We start from the raw sequence: 18,961 nt of genomic DNA on the forward strand, positions 1-18,961 counted from the left end.
TCCTTAACAGCATCTAATATACTGCCCATGTTAAAATTTTCCTGATTGTTTTAAAGATGTCTTCTTTGGTTGGCTTGTTTGAATTAAGATCCAATTACTGAAGGTTTTTCCTGAAGCACAGACACCTCCCTGATCCTATCTCAGGGATCTTTCAATGTTGTGAGACCAGAACCAAGGCAACTAAGACACACTTAGGCTGCAAGGGATTATGATTCTGTCTTCTATGTGGCACCATGGGGAGGGGGAGTTAACCAGGAAAGACTAACTTGACCTGTTTGGCTGCCCTGGAACAGGGTCCTGAATAGACCAGCCACAGTTCTAAAGAGGCAGAGATACCTGGTTCTTACTTCTAGAAGTGGTCTGTTCCAGGCCATCCCATTCTGTAGCTGCACAGACATCAGTGAAATTCTCTGGGGCTTTGTGGGAAATGCAGTCGTTTCAGGAGATCCACCCTAAGAAGGCAGCAAAACATCACGTCTTGTGGAATGGGGAGGATGGTACTAGCACCCGAGTCAATTAGCTGTGTCTGTAGGAAAAGGAGTAGTTGGCGAAGAATTAAAGAGCAGAAATGGAAGTGAGGGAAAGGACTCATCCCCAGATGGAGGGAAGAAAATGTATGTGGCTAGTTCAACTCTTTGAAGACATTTAAATATTGAGTGTGTTTGGACATATGACTATTTGGCTCATAAGGTAGAAGCCCAATAGTGGGATCTGGCTATTGGATCCCAGTTCGGGAAACATGACTTAATTGACATTTCCATTGGGTGGGAAAAGTAGGAAGGTGGTAATCTGCATATCCCTTGCCCCTGCTGAGACTGGCCTGGGAACCTGTGTGAGCCTTAGGGGAAGGAGTTCTAATCACAGCATAGCCATTTTGGTGTGGTTGATATAGGTGTTTTCAGTATAGAAATATGTATTCCAAATGCTGTGTCACTAATCCAAAAGAATTAGGTATTTTCTCCTCAAATATTTACATCAATATTCTTTTTTTTTTTTTTTTTCCTTTTTTGAAGATGGACTCTTGCTCTGTCACCCAGGCTGGAGTTCAGTGGTGCGACCTCAGCTCACTGCAACCTCTGCCTCCTGGGTTCAAGAAATTCTGTCTCAGCCTCCCGAGTAGCTGGGACTACAGGCACACGCTGCCACGCCCAGCTAATTTTTTGTATTTTAATAGAGATGAGGTTTCACCGTGTTGCCCAGGCTGGTCTCGAACTCCTGAGCTCAGGCAATCCACCCGCTTTGGCCTCCCAAAGTGCTAGGATTATAGGCATGAGCCACTGTGCCCAGCCAATATTCTTTATATTACTGATAGTATAAGCAATATCACCAACTGTAGTAATAATAAAAGCAGCATTTGAATAGTATTTCATAGCTTTCAAAACATTTTCACATTTATTTTATTTTCACACACACCCTGGCCATTTAAAATTGGGTGATGTTTACTGAGCTCTTACTGCATGCCATAATCTGTATTGGGTGCTTTCTATACTTTAGTAATCCTCTCTACCTATACCTTCTTTAAGGAGTTTTGTCTCTAAAATCCTTTACTTGTTGTATCAGACAGGGTTCACTCAAAGACTCATGAACATAATTTTATATGGAATTCCAATTTCATTGGGAATTAGTTTATGAAATTATAGATGCTGCCTAAGTGGTCTCTGCAAGGCTGTCTCTCAGCCTAATGCTAGAGCTTGAAGTCTCCAGGCAGATTGGTCAGAAGAGGAAGATCACATGCAGGCTGGAACCTCATAAGTACAAACAGAATCCCATGTCTGTTCTTGTTGCCTCTGACCTTGGTAATGAGGGTATCTTGTGGAAGCCACAAGGGTATCTCTTGTAGTCCACCCTGAAAGGAAACATACAAGAAAAAGGAATTCTGGGAAATGAAGTCCAGCTTTAGTAGGCACATTACAAACCATCACATCTGTTCTGTTCTAAGATGTGCTAGAGGAGAGGGTGGTTTGGTGTGCAGAGCGGGGGTCAGGGGAGGCAGGGTTTGACAGGCAGTGGTGGGGGTTGGGGGGAGGTGGGTGTTGATCTGCAGCACTCAGAGAAAGTAAACTAGATATTAGTGACCACATGAATTCTTCCGTTACTAGAAACTTCACGTAGGAGGGCTTATTCAACTAACCACTTGATGCATTCAGCTAAATTTTGCATGAAATGGAGCAGCAGGTTTTACAAGGAAATAATTAGCAGGCAAACATGGATTGCTGACCTGCTTATGCTGAAAGGTCATTCATGTGTTCAGCAGCTATTTGTTGGCTCTGTGGTGGTGTCTCTCTGTTCCTCTGGCTCTTCAGAGTTCTTTTGGCATCCCAGTTGTAGGAAGCTGATTGTCATACACCCCTTATCCCAGCAGGCCCTTGCTTGGCAGACTGTTTGCCTCAACCAGGTGGGCGCCTTGTCTGTCATGTCATCTGTTCTCAACCAAGTGGACACTTGGTTGCTGAAAATGTCTTTCTTAGCCGATTGGGGCTCAGGTAAAGAGCATAAGTAGGCCAGTCCAAGTCTCATTTATTTAGAATCATCCCCCAAGAACGTGGAACTACAGTTATCTGCTCTTTGGGAGCCTGTTGCTACATACTCTGCAGGGCCAGGGGAAAGAGCTTAGGTGCTGTGGGTCTGAGGATCACATGTGAGCAGGAGCTGACATGCCCTCCTCTGTCTGGGCTGGGATAGGTGACTTGGAGCCACCTTTGAAATCAAGAACAAAGAATAAAACACGCAGCAGGTGTCCAGACAATCCCTGGAAACAAATTCAGGGCCGTTTGGATGAGCAGAGTCTGTTACACAGCCTAGGAAGCTAATCTGCATGCCGTACCTTCAGGGCAAACTGCAGCTCAGAGCACTGGGAGTAAGATCATAGGCCCTGCCAACAAGCCTCATGTGCGGAGCTCTGACATCAGTGTTTCCTGGGAATTTCTTGCCATTAATAACCTTTGTGCTTTGATATTTGCTTAACGAGAAAGAAAGCTCTGTATTCAGTGGAGAAGCTGGCTTCCCAGACTGGGAAGTGTTGCTCAGGCAGGCCAACTTAAAGGCAGTGCTGATTTTGTCTAGGGCTGCAATTAGCATAATCCACTTTGCTGGCAGACTTACTCATTGGCCAGAGGTGGGTGATGATTTTCTTCTTTCTTTTTTTTTTTTTAATTATACTTTAAGTTCTAAGGTACATGTGCACAACCTGCAGGTTTGTTACATATGTATACATGTGCCATATTGGTGTGCTGCACCCATTAACTCGTCATTTACATTAGGTATATCTCCTAATGCTATCCCTCCCCCCTCCCCCCACCCCATGACAGGCCCTGGTGTGTGATGTTCCCCTTCCTGTGTCCAAGTGTTCTCATTGTTCAACTCCCACCTCTGAGTGAGATTTCTAAACTTTTTACCTAAATAAATCCAGATAACTTTATCTGATGTCTCACTCTCTGTCTCTGTCACAGAAGGTAGGGGTGACTCTCAGAAGTTCAGACAAGTATGCTGAAACTTGTTGTCCAGGAAGGGTAAGCTCCAGGCCTAGCTGGGGCTCTCAGAGGCAAAGATTTCATCTTTTAAAAAAAGTCAATTTCTTCTGAGAGGATTTAGTAAGTTATTCTATTCCATATCATTAAACTAATCAAGTTATGGCTCCTGGGCACCTAGAATTCCCATTGAATACCAGTGGGGACATTTGAGAGAATGATTTCTTTTTAAGGGGTTTGGGCAGTGGTGCTCTTCCAGCTCACTGGAGTCAGCTCCTGTGTAGTCAAAGACAGATGACCTCGCTTGAGGATTTTATAGCTCTTGGTGGTTTTAGATGCCTTTACTGCATATGAGCAAGCCCACCTCCCCACGAAGCAAAGATATTCCAATCTGGTAAGTCAGATTTGCTCTAAAGAGAAGTGTACACATGTGTGTATGTGTGTGCATGGAATAAATTGGTTGTTTTTTTCCCCAATCAGTAGGACAGAGTAGAACCTGGGTGTATGGTATATGGTGCTTTTAAGACCTGCAGAAGCATGCCACAAAAAGACACAGCAAAATGTACTCAAAGAGATACATCTGTGTGGATTGGCCTTCTCATTCTGCCAGCCCTAGAGATTCCGATATGAGATGTGCTTCTAAAGTGTGTTTTGTGAGGCCACCCCAGCAGAGGGCTTTGGCAGAAGAGCCCTTGAATGTGGATCAGGAATGCATTTCCCTCCCGTTCACGGAGTACAGTTCTCCCTTGGTATCATTTGGGGACTAGGTTCAGGATCCCCATGGATACCAAAATCCACAGATGCTCAAGTACCTGATATAAATGGCATAGGATTTGCATAACCTATGCACATCCTCCTGTTTACTTTAAATCACCTCAAGATTACCCAATACAACGAAAATGCTATGTGAATAGTTATTTTACAATTTGTATTTTTTTTTTGTGGTTGCATTGTTATTTTAGAGACAAGGTCTTGCTCTGTCACCCAGGCTGGAGTGCAGTGGGGTGATTATAGCTCACTGCATCCTTGAACTCTTGAGCTCAAGTCATCTTTCCACCTTAGCCTCCCAAGTATCTGGGACAACAGGTGCATACCACTACACTGAACTAATATTTTAAAGTTTTTTAGAGATGGGAATCTCATTAGTTTCCCAGGCTGGTCTTCAACTCCTGGGCTCAAGTGATACTCCTGCCTCAGTCTCCCAAGTACTGGCTCTTGCATTGTCATTTATTATTTTTTCCAAATATTTTTGATTTGTTTTTGGTTGAATTCATGGATGAGAATCGGCAGATATGGAGTGCGGCTGTATAGGTGGTGTGTCCTTCCCTCTGTCTTTCTCTGGGATATGGATTTTATCTCCTCTTTCCAGTGTCTGTCCTTTGTCTTCCCCCCATCTCTGGATGTGCTACTCTCATTTCTGCCCTGATAGCTCCAAATCCTACCATTTTGCTTTGATTGAGGTCAAGATAGAACATTGACACTTTCTCTTTTTTTTTTGTGGAGAACCAACTTCTTTGTATCTTCCTCTCTCTCGCCCTTCTTCCCTTCCTTTCCTTCCATAAATCTTTATTGAATCCCAAGAACTGTGACAACCACAGGACCAGAATTTCAAGTTATAACATGGCTTGCACTTCGAGGAGTTCATAATATCGTAGGTTTGACATCCACTTATATTCAGTTTAACAGCTTGTTATATGCATCCAATCATGTAATTCTCTTATTTTGTATATTTAAACTCCATCAGCAACAGGATTTCTATGTCCTCATAAGTGGAGACCACAGCCCCTTGGTTTGCAACAGTGTCTGTCTTAGTGTTGTGCTTAGTGGCGCAGATGAGTTTTCTCATCTATAAAATGGAGATAAGACCACTACTTCCCAGTCCTGTGGTGAGCTTTAAGTTACATGATGTCTCTAAGTGCACAGCCCAGGGCATGGCCCAGAGTAGGTCTCAGTAAGCAGTAACTATTATGATTACTGTGGTTAGAGCAGCTTGGTAAATAATCATTCAACTCATTTGAAATGTGTCGACTTGACAGATGGGCAGGAACAGGAGGTGAAATTCAAACCCGTTGACTTAGTAAAATAGATCCAAAATCAGATAACAGCAGAGATATCCTTATGCTGCTTTCATTCTGCTGTAAATTGGAGTTCTTATGCAAAGCTAACTTTTTAGGAGAACATGCAGAATTATAAAATCTGCCAGGCAACAGCAGGCTCAACCTGAAGTTGGATTTACTGAGATATGGTCCTATATGCTATGACACACATGTGACTTTATTTATTTATTTATTTATTTGAGATGGAATCTTGCTCTGTTGCCCAGGCTGGAGTGCAATGGTGCGATCTTGGCTCACTGCAACCCCCGCCTCCTGGGTTCAAGCGATTCTCCTGCCTCAGCCTCCTTGAGTTGCTGAGGTTACAGGTGCCCAGCTAATTTTATTTTTTTTTGGATTTTTTTTTGTAGAGACAGGGTTTCACCATGTTGGCCAGGCTGTTCTTGAACTTCTGACCAGTGATCCGCTTGCCTCGGCCTCCCAAAGCGCTGGGAGTACAGGCGTGAGCCACCACGACCAGCTGTGACTTGCATTATCATGGGAGTAATGATAAAGGTAGAGTGATACATTCACAAAGTAGACGCTCCTTTTACACCGACTGTATTAGTTTGTTAGGACTGCGGTAACAGAGTTCCACAAACTGGGCAGCTTAAACAACAGAAATTTATTGCCTCATGGTTCTGCAGACTCTAGGGGTCCAAAACCCAGGTCAGGATGGGTTTCTTCAAAGGCTGTTGAGGACAGCGTGTATTCCAGATCTCTCTCCTTGGCTTATAGAAGGCCATCTTCTCCCTGTGTCTCTTTACACCTTCTTCCTTCTATTCATGTGTCTGAGTCCAAATTTGTCCTTGTTTTAAAGACACCAGCCATGGTGGATTAGGTTCCATTCTAATGATCTCATTTTAACTTGATTACCTCTGTAGAGACCCTATGTCCAAATAAGGTGACATTCTGAAGATACTGGGGTTTAGGACTTCAACACGTGAATTTTGGTGGGATGCGATTCAACTCGTAACACAGATCCAGATGAGCTATTATTCCCCCTTTTTTAGAGAAGGGGAACAGAAGCCTAGAGAGCTTTTGGGGGTGGCCTGGTTAATCAGTGGAGGACTGGGAATGGACCTTAGATTCTTGCTGCACTTTGCAGGTCACTGAGCTTTGTCAGAATCTAGGTGTGTGATGTAGCAGTGTTTACCCCAGTCCAGGTGGGATGCTTGGCTCTCGGGTAACATTTCAAGTGGACAAGTCACTTAGATTGAAATGAGGGTCTTTTTCTCCTTCTCGTGTAACAGCTCTTAATATGATGGTGGTGGAATTTCTACACCAGAATCTGCTACCGATAGTAACAGTTACAACCACCGTCCCCACGACTTACATCTGCTCAGTACTTTGTAATTCTCCAAGTTGATATGTATTACCATTTTTATTTCTTTTTTGTAGATGGGGTCTTGCTATGTTGCCCAACTCCTGGTCTTAAGTGATCCTCCTACCTCAGCCTCTCATGTAGCTTGGACTATAGGTACACACCACGATGCACAGCTGTGCATTACCATTTTTGACCTTCGGAAAATCCTATGGGGTATACACAAATTTATAACTCCTTTGTACGCTTTTGGGGCCAAATGTACTTCAGAATTCAGAACCCTGTGGACTTGAGAAAAGTAATGATAGTTTATGTTGTGTATATTACATAACATCCCTGTAGGGTCTGGGGCAGCTTTGAAATCCAACAGCAAAATATCTTCATATTCACGCAAAGCTAGATAAATAAAGATAAGTGATAACTTCTTGTCTATTTGGGTCAGATTTTGTTGCTGATGAGTTTTGAAAAACTTTTGAGTTTTGGAGTTTTTGAATTCCAGATGTGTGGCTGAGGGATTACAGGCCTGTTTTCACGATTGTCTCTGTTTCTAGAGGACAAGAAGTCAGGCACCCACCTAGAGAGAGGGATGAACTGGACTGGGTGAGCCCAGTGCTTAGCCAAGGAAACCTGTGGAAGCCCAAAGCCCTGACCTGGCAGCTGCCTGTCAGGAGAGGGTGGATGGTGGAACATTGTTCAAGGAGAATTTGGGCACTAGTGCTGGGTCCCCAGTGACTCACTGGTCAGGGCCTCTGGCTGCATTGTTTAGCCTCTTTGTAGCTCAGCCTGCAGTTTGGCTATAATATGCCTACTCATGTTGGTGTAGAGAGAATGCATCAAGCTAAGAGGTAACGGGAGGAGTGAGTCCAGGTTTTGGGGTATCTGAAGCTTGTAAGATTTGGGGTGCCCTTTCATAAAAAAGAATACAAAATCACAAACATAAAAATTTGATAAAAAGTAAATTTTTCTTTAGATTAAGGAATCACAACAGCTTACAAATTTACAAAAAACTCCCAAATAAATTGGGATGGGAGTGCATATGTGGGAGGATATGGGGACTTTGTAATTTCTGCTCAATTTTTCTGTAAACCTAAAACCATGCAAAAACAACCCACAAAAACAAACCCCAGAGTTGTCCAGGTGCAGTGGCTCACACCTGTAATCCCAGGACTTGGGGAGGCTGAGGCGGGTGGGTCACTTGAGGTCAGGAGTTCGAGACCAGTCTGGACAATGTGGTGAAACCCCGTCTCTACTAAAAATACAAAAATTAGCCAGGAGTGGTGGCAAGTGCTTGTAACCCCAGGTACTCAGGAGGCTAAGGCTAGAGAATTGCTTGAACCTGGGAGGCAGAGGTTGCAGTGAGCTGAGATCACACCACTGCACTGCAGCCTGGGTGACAGAGCGAGACTGCATCTGGGGGAAAAAAAACCCACAAAAACCCCAGAGTCTATTAATTTTAAGAAAAGTTACCAAATAACTCAGCATACAAACCAGAAAAGAAACATAATTTGTTCATTAACTACCTGCAAATTTGTCTAGTATACCTTTTCATCCTACAAGTTTTTGGCTGTGCATTCTTTGATTTCCTTTTCACATGACAATGATTTTTTGATACTGTTGTAGAAAGAGTATAAAAATCACACATAAAGATGATTCAGCATTCCCTCTAGCATGATTGATCAATTTTTTTTTTGTTATTGAGAGCTTAGTAAAAGATCCTTTTTGCTTTGCAATTCTTCACTGGCAATATCATGTAAATTTTCAGGATGGCTCACAAATTTGAGACACCTTTGCCAAGCTTTTGCCACCTATGAGCCTTTCTTCAGCCTCCGTTCAGCCTCTGGAGCACAGTCTCCAAGGGGAGAGAAGAGCCCCATGTGCCCATGGCAGATGAGAGTTCTGAGCAGCCTGGTGGGTGGCTATAAAATTCCTACTTCATGTAACCACTGAGAATGGATTAGATTTAGTCCAGTTTTCACAATAAGACTTTTCTTTCCAAAACCTTGGTGCTGTTTACCTCTTCACTATAGGATCAGGCTTCCCTGGTCTCTAGAGCAATTCTTAGAAGGAATTTTAGCAGCTCTGTCCTCCCAAAGCTTTGGTTCTCATTTTAGACTTCTAGACCACTCTTGTCCTGCTAGCTGAACCTCTGTTGGATCTGGGTAGCATGCCTAACACCCCAGCTCCTTAGAAGCGAGGCATTGGCCCCTAACCCCTCCCTCTCAGTGGATTCCAACCACCTGGATGCCCTCTTTATCCTGCCTGCCAGAATCTCTGAATAGCGCATCTCCCTCTCAAATATGAGCTCCCCGATGACAGAGGTGCATTTTTTTTCACATTTATGACTCATCATAGTGTCTGGCATGAAATTGGGACTTGAAAAACCAGGGAGAATGAATGAATAAATGAATAAATGAATGAGACATGGAGGGCTGGGTTACCTTTATTGTCAAAGGTCATCTGAGAGTCCTCAGAGCAATATCCATATATGCTTCTCAGCTTCGTAGGGGGATTTGAGGGCTGAGGGTGGAGTGTGTGGAGCATCTCTGTGGTTGTTTGCCAGGGCTACTGTAATGAAGTACTACAAACTGGGTGGCTTAAACAAGATAAATTTATTATCCCACAGTTCTGGAGGCTGGAAGTCCAAAATCAAGGCATCAGCAGGGTCATACTCCATCTAAAACCTACTTGGGAATCTTTTCTTGCTTCTTCCTAGTTTTTGTTGCATTTCCAGCAAATCATTGGTGTTTCTTGGTGCTTTGGTTTGAATGTTTTTGTTTCTTCCAAAATTCATGTTGAAAGTTAATCCCCAGTGCAACAGTATTGGAAAGTGTGGCCTTTCGGATGTGACTGATATGGTTTGGCTGTGTCCCCACCCAAGTCTCATCTTGAATTCCCACGTGTTGTGGGAGGGACCCAGTGGGAGGTAATTGAATCATGGGGGCAAGTTTTTCCCGTGCTGTTCTCATGATAGTGAATAAGCCTCATGAGATCTGATGGTTTTAAAAAGAAGAGCTCCCCTGCACAAGTTCTCTCTTTGCCTGCTGCCATCCATGTAAGATGTGACTTACTCCTCCTTGCCTCCCACAATGATTGTGAGGCTTCCCCAGCCATGTGGAACTGTAACTCCATTAAACCTCTTTCTTTTGTAAATTGCCCCATCACAGGTATGTCCTTAGCAGCAGTGTGAAAATGGACTAATACAGTGACTGACTGAATCTCATCCTCATGAATGAGATTAGGTGTCTTATAAAAGGGCTTGAAGGAGGGAATTTTTCCCCTCTTACCCCTCTGCCTTCTGCTACATGAGGACACAGAATTCCTCCCCTCTGGACGGTGCAGTATGTACAGTGCCATCTTGAAAGCAGAGTCCAGACCTTTACCAGAAACCAACCTGCCGGCACCTTGATCTTGGACTTCCCTGCTTCCAGAACTGTGAGAAATAAATGTCTGTTCTTTGTAAATTATTTAGCCTGTGGTAGTCTCTTATAGCAGCACAATGGACTAAGACCCTTAGCTTGTAGATACATCACTCCAATCCTTTGTCTTCATGTGGCATTCTCCCTGTCTCTTCCCTTTGTGTGTTTCTTCCTCTCGTCAGCTTCCCTTTGAGTGTTTCTGTGTCCATGTTTCCTCTTTGTATAACAACATCAATCTTGTCACATGAGAACTGACCCAAGCAACCTCATCTTCGCTTGGTTAAATCTACAAAGACCCTATTTCCAAATGAGGTCACATTCTGAAGTACCAGGGTTGGAACTTCACATCTTATTTTGGGGAGCAAAATTCATGCCATACCAATCCTCAGAAGCTTTTATCTGAATGTTTTGGACATTTCCATGACTCTCATGGGATGAAGTGGGGATGCGGTGTTCTCATGGGCAGAGGAGCAAGGATGCTGGATGGCATTTCTCAATACCATATCAGCTAAGGCATGGGTTAGTGCTTGTGCAGTGAATGCAAGAAAGCAAAAAAGAGGATGAAAGAATGAATGAGCCCCTTCTGTGGTGTGCTGTTCTCTGGAGATCTCCTGGTGACTTCAGCTTGAAGGCTCAGTGCTATGATCCTGCCTGGATAGATTGTCTCCAGATGCTTTGGATATGATGCCGCCAGACTGGACTCTCTTGACATTACAACTGGGAACCAGACAGACCTGTTTGTTCAAATCCTGGCTCTACTATCTTACAATTATAAAATATAGGTCAGATTCCTCAACCTCGAGGAATCTGTCTTTCTTTGTTGACAATAAGAATGGCAATAATCTTTTTTTTTTTTTTTTTTTTTTTTTTTTTTTTTTTTGAGGCAGGGTCTGGCTCTGTCACCCAGGTGGGGGAGTACCATGGCACAATCATGGCTTATTGCAGCCTTGACCTTCTGGGCTCAAGTGATCCTCCTGCCTCATTTTTTGAATTTTTGTACAGATGAGGTCTTATTGTGTTGCTCAGGCCGGTTCAAGTGATCCTCCCATCTTGGCCTCCCAAAGTGCTGGGATTACAGGCGTGAACCACTGTGCCTGGCCAGGAATAATAATCTCATAGAATTGTTAAGCACTAAATGTGATCATATATAATGCACATGGCTCTGGGCTGACGGATAGTAAATGCCCAGTAATGATGATCAGTTTATTTTTATTGTCACATCTGGCTTTGTCTCGTCCATGGCTGCCCTCCCCTAGCTGGTTGATTTTGTTTGATCCTTTCCTTGCTGCCCCTTCCTCCCAGCTGTGGTGGTTTATCAGGCTGTGCCTGGCTCCTCCCAGAACTAAGGTTGCCCAGTCCCAGGTTAGGTGCAAATGCTAGGAAGCCTGCCTTCTGGGCTAGATCTTCAGTTAGGTGGCTCTGTAGACTAACCTGTATATCTTTTCTATGCCCTAAGTTTCTTCATTTGTAAAATAAAAATTTGTTGGCCTAGTAGTGTATTTGGTTCCCATTAGTCTATGTAGTTTTGTGTCCCTATAAAGACAATAACAATTATTAATGAGTATAGAAACGTTTTTATTTTTAGTTGTTACTGGCACTGAAATATAGTGTTAAAGACCTGGAATGAAGAGCAATATAAGAAATTGAGGGGGGTGTGGATCATCTGAGGTCAGGAGTTCAAGACCAGCCTGGCCAACATGGTGAAACCCCATCTCTATAAAAATACAAAAACTAGCCGGGCATGATGGTGGGTGCCTGTAATCCCAGCTCCTTGGGAGGCAGAGGCAGGAGAATCTCTTGAATCTGAGAGGCAGAGGTTGCAGTGAGCCGAGATTGTGCCATTGCATCCCAGCCTGGGCAACAGGGTGAGACTCTGTCCCCCACCCCCAACCCCCCCGCCCCCCCAAAAATCATGGATTAGAGCATACTCCAGAGGAAAGGGAGCTAACAGTGCCGGAGACCCTGTTATGTTTCATGTACTTTGTTGTATGCTGTGTAATACGGTTTGGCTGTGCCTGCACCCAAATCTCATCTTGAATTGTAGCTCCTATAATCCCCACGTGTCATGGGAGGGACCTGGTGGGAGGTAATTGAATCATTGGGGCAGGTTTTTTTCTGTGCTGTTCTCATGATGGTAAGTCTCACGAGATCTAATGTTTTTGTAAAGGGGAGTTCCCCTGTACATGCTCTTCTTGCCTACTACCATGTAAGACGTGCCTTTGCTTCTCTGCCTTCTGCCATGACTGTGAGACCTTCCGAGCCATGTGGAACTGCGAGTCAATTAAACCTCTTTTTCTTTATAAATTATGCAGTCTTGGGTATTTCTTCATAGCAGTATGAGAACGGACTAATGCACCGTGTGTACAATAGCATGTCACATCCATGCCAAAACCTCCAAGGAAGGAGGTGTAACTCCCATTATGAGGGCAGGAAACTGAGGTCTAGAGAAGGTACATAGCTCACAAAAGGTTTCAGTCCTGGTGAGTGGGAAAGCCAGCATTTGAACCTGGGATATCTGACATTCAGGTCTCTGGAAGAGCTGCTGGATCCTGGAAGAACTGAGAACAGCCACATGCTTGCTGTGCACAAGGTGGGAGCTGCCTTGGGCTTGAGCAGTGTCCTGTTGAAAAAAGTTCTTGTGGAAGCAACAGGCCATGACTAAACAGCCACAGACCCTCTGGCCTGCCAAGCAAGCCTGCACGGGAAAACGAGCTTTTAAGAAGATAATGAACTGGGCCTTGCAGGGGAGTTAGCAGGCAGCGGGCGGAAAATGTCCTTGTGCAGATTTAGTCAGCTTCAATGCCCCTTGCAGCCTGTTTCTGCTGGTGAGGCAAGTGCCTCACATTCAGGAAGAAATATCCATTTTCCTCCAGCCCAGAACCCTGGGAGTAATTACGGCCATTCAGTGAGGTTCCCAGGCTATTTCCTTTAAGTATTTATACCAAGCAGGTGCTTGTTGCTCATGAACTCCCTTTCTCTCAAAAGGGCATTAAAATGGAACACTTCTACACTGCGGATGGGAATGTAAACCAGTACAGCTGCTATGGAAAACAGTGTGGAGATTCCTTAAAGAACTAAAAGTAGAACTACCGTTTGATCCAGCAATCCCACTACTGGATATCTACCCAGAGGAAAAGAATCATTATTCAAAAAAAGATACTTGCACATGCATGTTTATAGTAGCACAATTCACAATAGCAAAATCGTGGAACCAACCCAAATGCCCATCAATGAGTAGATAAACTATGGTGTATATGATGGAATACTACTCAGCCATAAAAAGGAATGAATTACCAGCATTTGCAATGACCTGGATGAGATTAGTGACTATTATTCTAAGTGAAGTACCTCAGGAATGGAAAACCAAACATTATATGTTCTCACTGGTATGTGGAGGCTAAGCTATGAGGATGCAAAGGCATAAGAAAGATACAATGGACTTGGCGGAAGAGTAGGAGGGGGGTGAGGGATAAAAGACAAAAATACGGTGCAGTGTATACTGCTCGGGTGATGGGTGCACCAGGATCTCACAAATCACTAAAGAACTTATGTAACCAAATACCACCTCTACCCCCAATAACTTATGGAAAAATAAAAAAATAGAACTTCACTCTTTTCAGTTGAAATCCTACGACAGTAAGGGCCAACTCCTCCTACACTGCAGACTCCTACACTGCTAGAGGACTTGAAAATGTGGTTGAAAACTGTTTTTAGAACCCTAAACCTTTGTCCACTGGAGGGTATTAAAAGGCCAATAAAGAGAGGACATAAAAAATTGCGACAGTGGAGATGGGCAGTTGGAAGCTGGAGAATTTCTTTGGAAAGAGCTGTGCTGTGATCCTTGTCCTTGATGGAAGAGGAGCAAAGGATACTTTCTGACCCTAAGTCTATTGAGAGGGATGTTCATGGGAATACTCGCAGATCTTGGTATACCTCCTCTGGTTCTTGAAACCCACAGTGGACTGATACCTAACTTATCCTGGGGAATCTGCAGAACTAAAGCTGTGGCTGGAGCTGCCTGAAGGTGACTCAGTGAACAGAAGCTGCCTTTGGGAAGTCATTCCACTCCCAATGACTGAGGTCAGAGAAGAGTATTTCCTGTGGATGAGAGAGCGAGAGTGCGCTGATAAGGTGTTGTCACCCAGAGAGGTGAGAAGATCTTGGAAGAAAGTCTGAAGATATCCCATGGTGATCCTCAGGAGTCAAGCAGAGAATTGTAAGTGACTAGCCAGAAGATGCATTTGCCCACATCAAAGGCACTGGAGCATCTTTAAGCAGGACCTTTATAATGACTTACATGGGTGTGGACCTTACTAAAGACCAGACGTTGTTCTAACACTCATTTAATCCTGACCGCAATGCCATGAAGCAGACATTATTATCACCTCCATTTTACAGATGGGGAAACTGAGGCATAAAGCAGTCAAGCAACTTGCCCAAGGTCACACAAGTAGAAAGAAAGTGATGGAGCTGGGATTTGAACCCTGGCAGATTGGTTCCAGAATTCACACTTTTAATCAATGCACCGCTAGCAGCAAAGCTATTACACGGTTCTGTGGAGGAAAGATGTTCAATGTCTCTCCCAGAACTCTGCTAAGGAAGTGAGGATTCTGGAAAAACTCATCCAGGCCCCAGTCTTCTCTCAGAATCCACCCAGAGGCAGTGCACTGAGTCCCTGACTTGCCCTTCACTTGGCAACAACTGCCCTATCCTCTTGGTGCATTTTCCCAAAGGCCTGTGCTGGGAAGGCTGTCATCATTCCTCCTGGCCAATCCCAGACTCAGGTGTCTGGAGACCTTGGCCCAAGTCCCAGATGCTTCTTCATAGGCCCCTCCAACCATTGCAAACAGGAGCACTGGCATAAGCCCACTCCCAGAAACAGCCTCTGGGCATTTTTTTTTTTTTTTTTTGAGACAGAGTCTTGCTCTGTCACTCAGGCTGGAGTTCAGTCGTGCGATCTTGGCTCACGGCAACCTCCACCTCCTGGGTTCAAGCAATTCTGCCTCAGCCTCCCAAGTAGCTGGGATTATAGGTGTATGACACTACGCCTGACTAGTTTTTGTATTTTTAGTAGAGATGAGGTTTCATTCACCATACTGGCCAGGCTGGTCTTGGAACTCCTAACCCCAAATGATCCATTCACTTCAGCCTCCCAAAGTGCTAGGATTACAGGGATGAACTACTGCACCTGGCCGCTGGGCATTCTTTAGTTTCCTGAGGGAAAAGTTACAGGTTCAAGGATAATGCTTTTTGTTGGAAAAGTTAGCTGGAGAGGCTCTTAGGATCTTGTTATCGATCTTTTTTTCCACTGAGCCCTCTACAGCTTGAGGCAAGAGACAGCTGTGGTGTAGGGGGAAGACATCAGATCTGAAGTGAGATGACCTGGGAGGTCCTGGTCAACCTACCTGTTCCTGGGCTTTGTACCTGGGGGAATAAGCTCTTCAAGTGTAGGCAGAAATACTCCTTGTCCCCCACTTCCCTGGCCCCCACCATGCTGTGTGATGCTCTCTTGCTGTTAGAGATCCTTTGAAAAAGGAGGCCCTTAATGAAAATATTTTTTGAGAAGATGCAAAACTTTAAAAAGTATATATATACACAAATAGGTACACACATATACATATATACAAAATATAAACAAATATTTGTATATCAAAATTTGTATTTGTGTATATCTGCATGCGTGTATATGTGTCTATATACACTCTATCACCTTGCAGGATAGATAGCAGAGAAATAGAGAATTTAAAGTCATGAAGGGCCCTAGAGATTGTATTCCAACCTCCTGATTTAATAAGTTAGAAAACCAGAGCTGAGAGATGCTAAGTGATTTGCCCAGCATTGCACAACCAGGTAGTGGTGGAGCTGGACTGGCCCCAGGTCTCCTGACTCCCAGTATGCTGTTCCCCGCCACTCACTGCAGCTTCCATTTCCTGAGCACGGAGTGTGTGCCTGGCATGGTGCTAGGCACTTCTCTCATATTGCCTTAGTCAGCTTCTGTTTTAAAGGTTAAGGATACTGAGGGGCAGAATGGTTAAGGGACCTAGTCACACAATCGTCTTTGGTAGAATGTTCAGGTTTTTCTAATTCTAAAGTCTGACCTCTTCTCTAGGATATGCAAAGTTACCCCTTGTGTGCCAGCCCAGCTCCAATTGGTTGGTAGTGGCTGCATGGAGTGCTTTGGGGACTGGGCTGAATTGAAGATGGGCTTCAGTCTCTTTGAGCCTGATCTGTATCAAGTTCACCTGACTCCTAATAGGGAGCCCCATGGAGCTCTCAATGAAAAGCCTGAGTTGCTTACCAGAGCCTTTCCTTTTCAATGAACTCTGAACTCCAACTTTTGTCCTTTGAAGACCTTAATATGCCTAAGTTTTGTTCGGTCTTTTGGTCTCCTGTCATTGCATTGTAATTGGCAAATGCCTTGAGCAAGAAGTAGTCTCAAATGATGGCTCACCTCTGTGCATCTCTTCCCTCTTGGCTTTTGGTCCCTCAAGTCCTTGCTGCCTCAGCAGCTCTCTGATGCCTTCAAACAGATCTTATACACATCTTTTGTTCAGTTACTCTAGTTGTTTCCAGCAGGATGTTCAGTATGCTATGTCATGATCCACATTTACCAGAAGCAGAAATTCCCTCTATTAGGATGTAAAGAAACCAAACCTGGAATTTCAACCTTAACTTGAGTTACTTGACAAATTAACTTCTCCCTAGATGCTCTTCCTTAAACTAGGCTATGCCTCTGAAACCTCTCCTGATTGCAGCCAGATTACACTGGCAGCTTGGTGATGGAGCTTGCAACAGCCAGCATTCTCTTTACATAAAGAAAGACAGGCACAATTTCTCCAGTGTTGGGCCTTCTAGCCCAGCAGCATTGGAGGAGTTTTACAATGCAATCTCCAGGCAGAGCTGGCTATCTAAGGGAGTGATTGCATTTCCTGTCATGAAGCTTTAGATCCCTGATTCATAGCGAGATGCCCAACGGCCACAGTGAGGCTCAAATAAAGCCCATAAAGTTCCAAATTGGGCAAAGGTTGATCAGGCAGGCTGGACTGATGTATGAGCAGATCTGAGGATGATAAATATGTGCCCCCATCTTTCCACTGTCACCTTGGCAAATCTTCCAAAAAATAGACAATGCAAGAGGGGCAACTGCTTTGGGCTGCACTCCTATTTCTCAAACATTTGGCTCCAAATGGTCTGCATAGGTAATGATGTATAAGAAATGAAATGGTGACAAAAATACACCTATTTGCCCAGTGCCTGTGCAGTATTTATGGTCCAGACACACCATTTAGCGCCGTATTTGGAAAATGATGGATATTTTAGCAATACCAAGTGCTTTGCCTTGTTTTGCGGGACCTGGTGGCAGGTAGAAAGGGCACAGCCCTGCAATTTGGAGGGAAACAGTGGCTCCCCTCTTGGAGTAGCCAAAGGCAATAGCCTGCTGGGTTGTAGCCCTCACTTGTTCACCTTGTGACTTTGCATCTTTGTAATTCTGATTCCCTCTCACACCCTTTTCCTTCCATGGGGCATTCTTAGTGCAGTAACTGCAGAAAAACAAATCAGAGGAATGCAAGCTGTGAGATGTTAGCTGGGTGTAGTGAAGTTAAAGGAGTGCCGATTATAGTTAAGTTGTTGGGCAACAGGGAAACGGGAGAAAGGCCATGGTCATTGTAAAGTCCGACCTCACTGGGTTGAAGCCCAGCTCGGTGACTATCCTGTCCTTGACCTATCACTTAACCTTTGAGTCTCTCCATCATCTGTAACAGGAGGACACTTATGCAGACATGGCAGCTTTGCATGAGAATGAAATAAGACACTGCCGGTGAAGGATAATGCATCTAGCACTCTGGCTTCTCAGTTTCTCCACCTTCTAATCAGCACCAGTGTTTCATTACACAGAATCTCAGCTGCCTCTGCCTTGGATATGCCCTTGATTTGTTACCACCAGAGAGGGCACCTAATTAGAAATTTAATTGGGAACATCTCATTCTCCAGACATTCTTCCAACTCTTCTGGCTTGCTCAGGGCCCTGGCTGCCACGATTCTTCAACTGGTTCAGGATCTCCCATCCACATGGTCTCTATCCTGGATGAGAGAAACAAAGTGGACTTCTGCTTCCATGCTTGTCCTCCCACTCTCTTCCTTCATGAAACAGGTAGAACAATGTTCTAAAAATGTAAATCAGATCACGTTCTTCCCTGCTTGAAGCCTTTTAATGTTTTCCTGATTGTTACCCAATCCACCAAACAACCAACCTATAAATACACGAGAGCACCTACTATGTGCCAGCTGCCATGGGTGACATCAGTGAACAAGACACATGCAAATTCCGCCCTCAGCCCCTCCTTGTACCATGATGGAAAATCACCACCCCCTGTTTACATCATCCCTTTACCACATGGTCGAGTCTCTGCTGTCATCTCTGCCTGCCAATCCCTGTGTCTTTACACTCCAACAAAAACCTTTTGTTGCAAACCCACTGTGTGTAGGAACTATCTCATTAAATCTTTTAAAATAGAAATGATTTTTTCCCTTCTCAGATGATGGAAGTGAGCTTCAAGTTAAAGAACTTACCCAAGATCACACAGCTGATGTGTGATCACACCAGGAGTTGACCAGGAAGCCAGCACCTCGGCCTGCATGTTTCTTTCATGTTCTCCTGCC

General features: G+C 44.3%; 1 annotated feature.

The window, feature by feature from the left end:
• Positions 17,071 to 17,365: a silencer, noted in NCBI's record as "tiled region #8767; K562 Repressive non-DNase unmatched - State 24:Quies". NCBI's record gives its function as "represses a minimal TATA promoter and a strong SV40 promoter by Sharpr-MPRA in K562 cells {active_cell/tissue: K562}" and the evidence as "EXISTENCE:reporter gene assay evidence [ECO:0000049][PMID:27701403]".

Source organism: Homo sapiens, chromosome 15 (genome assembly GCF_000001405.40).
Source record: "Homo sapiens chromosome 15, GRCh38.p14 Primary Assembly".
NCBI lineage: Eukaryota > Metazoa > Chordata > Mammalia > Primates > Hominidae > Homo > Homo sapiens.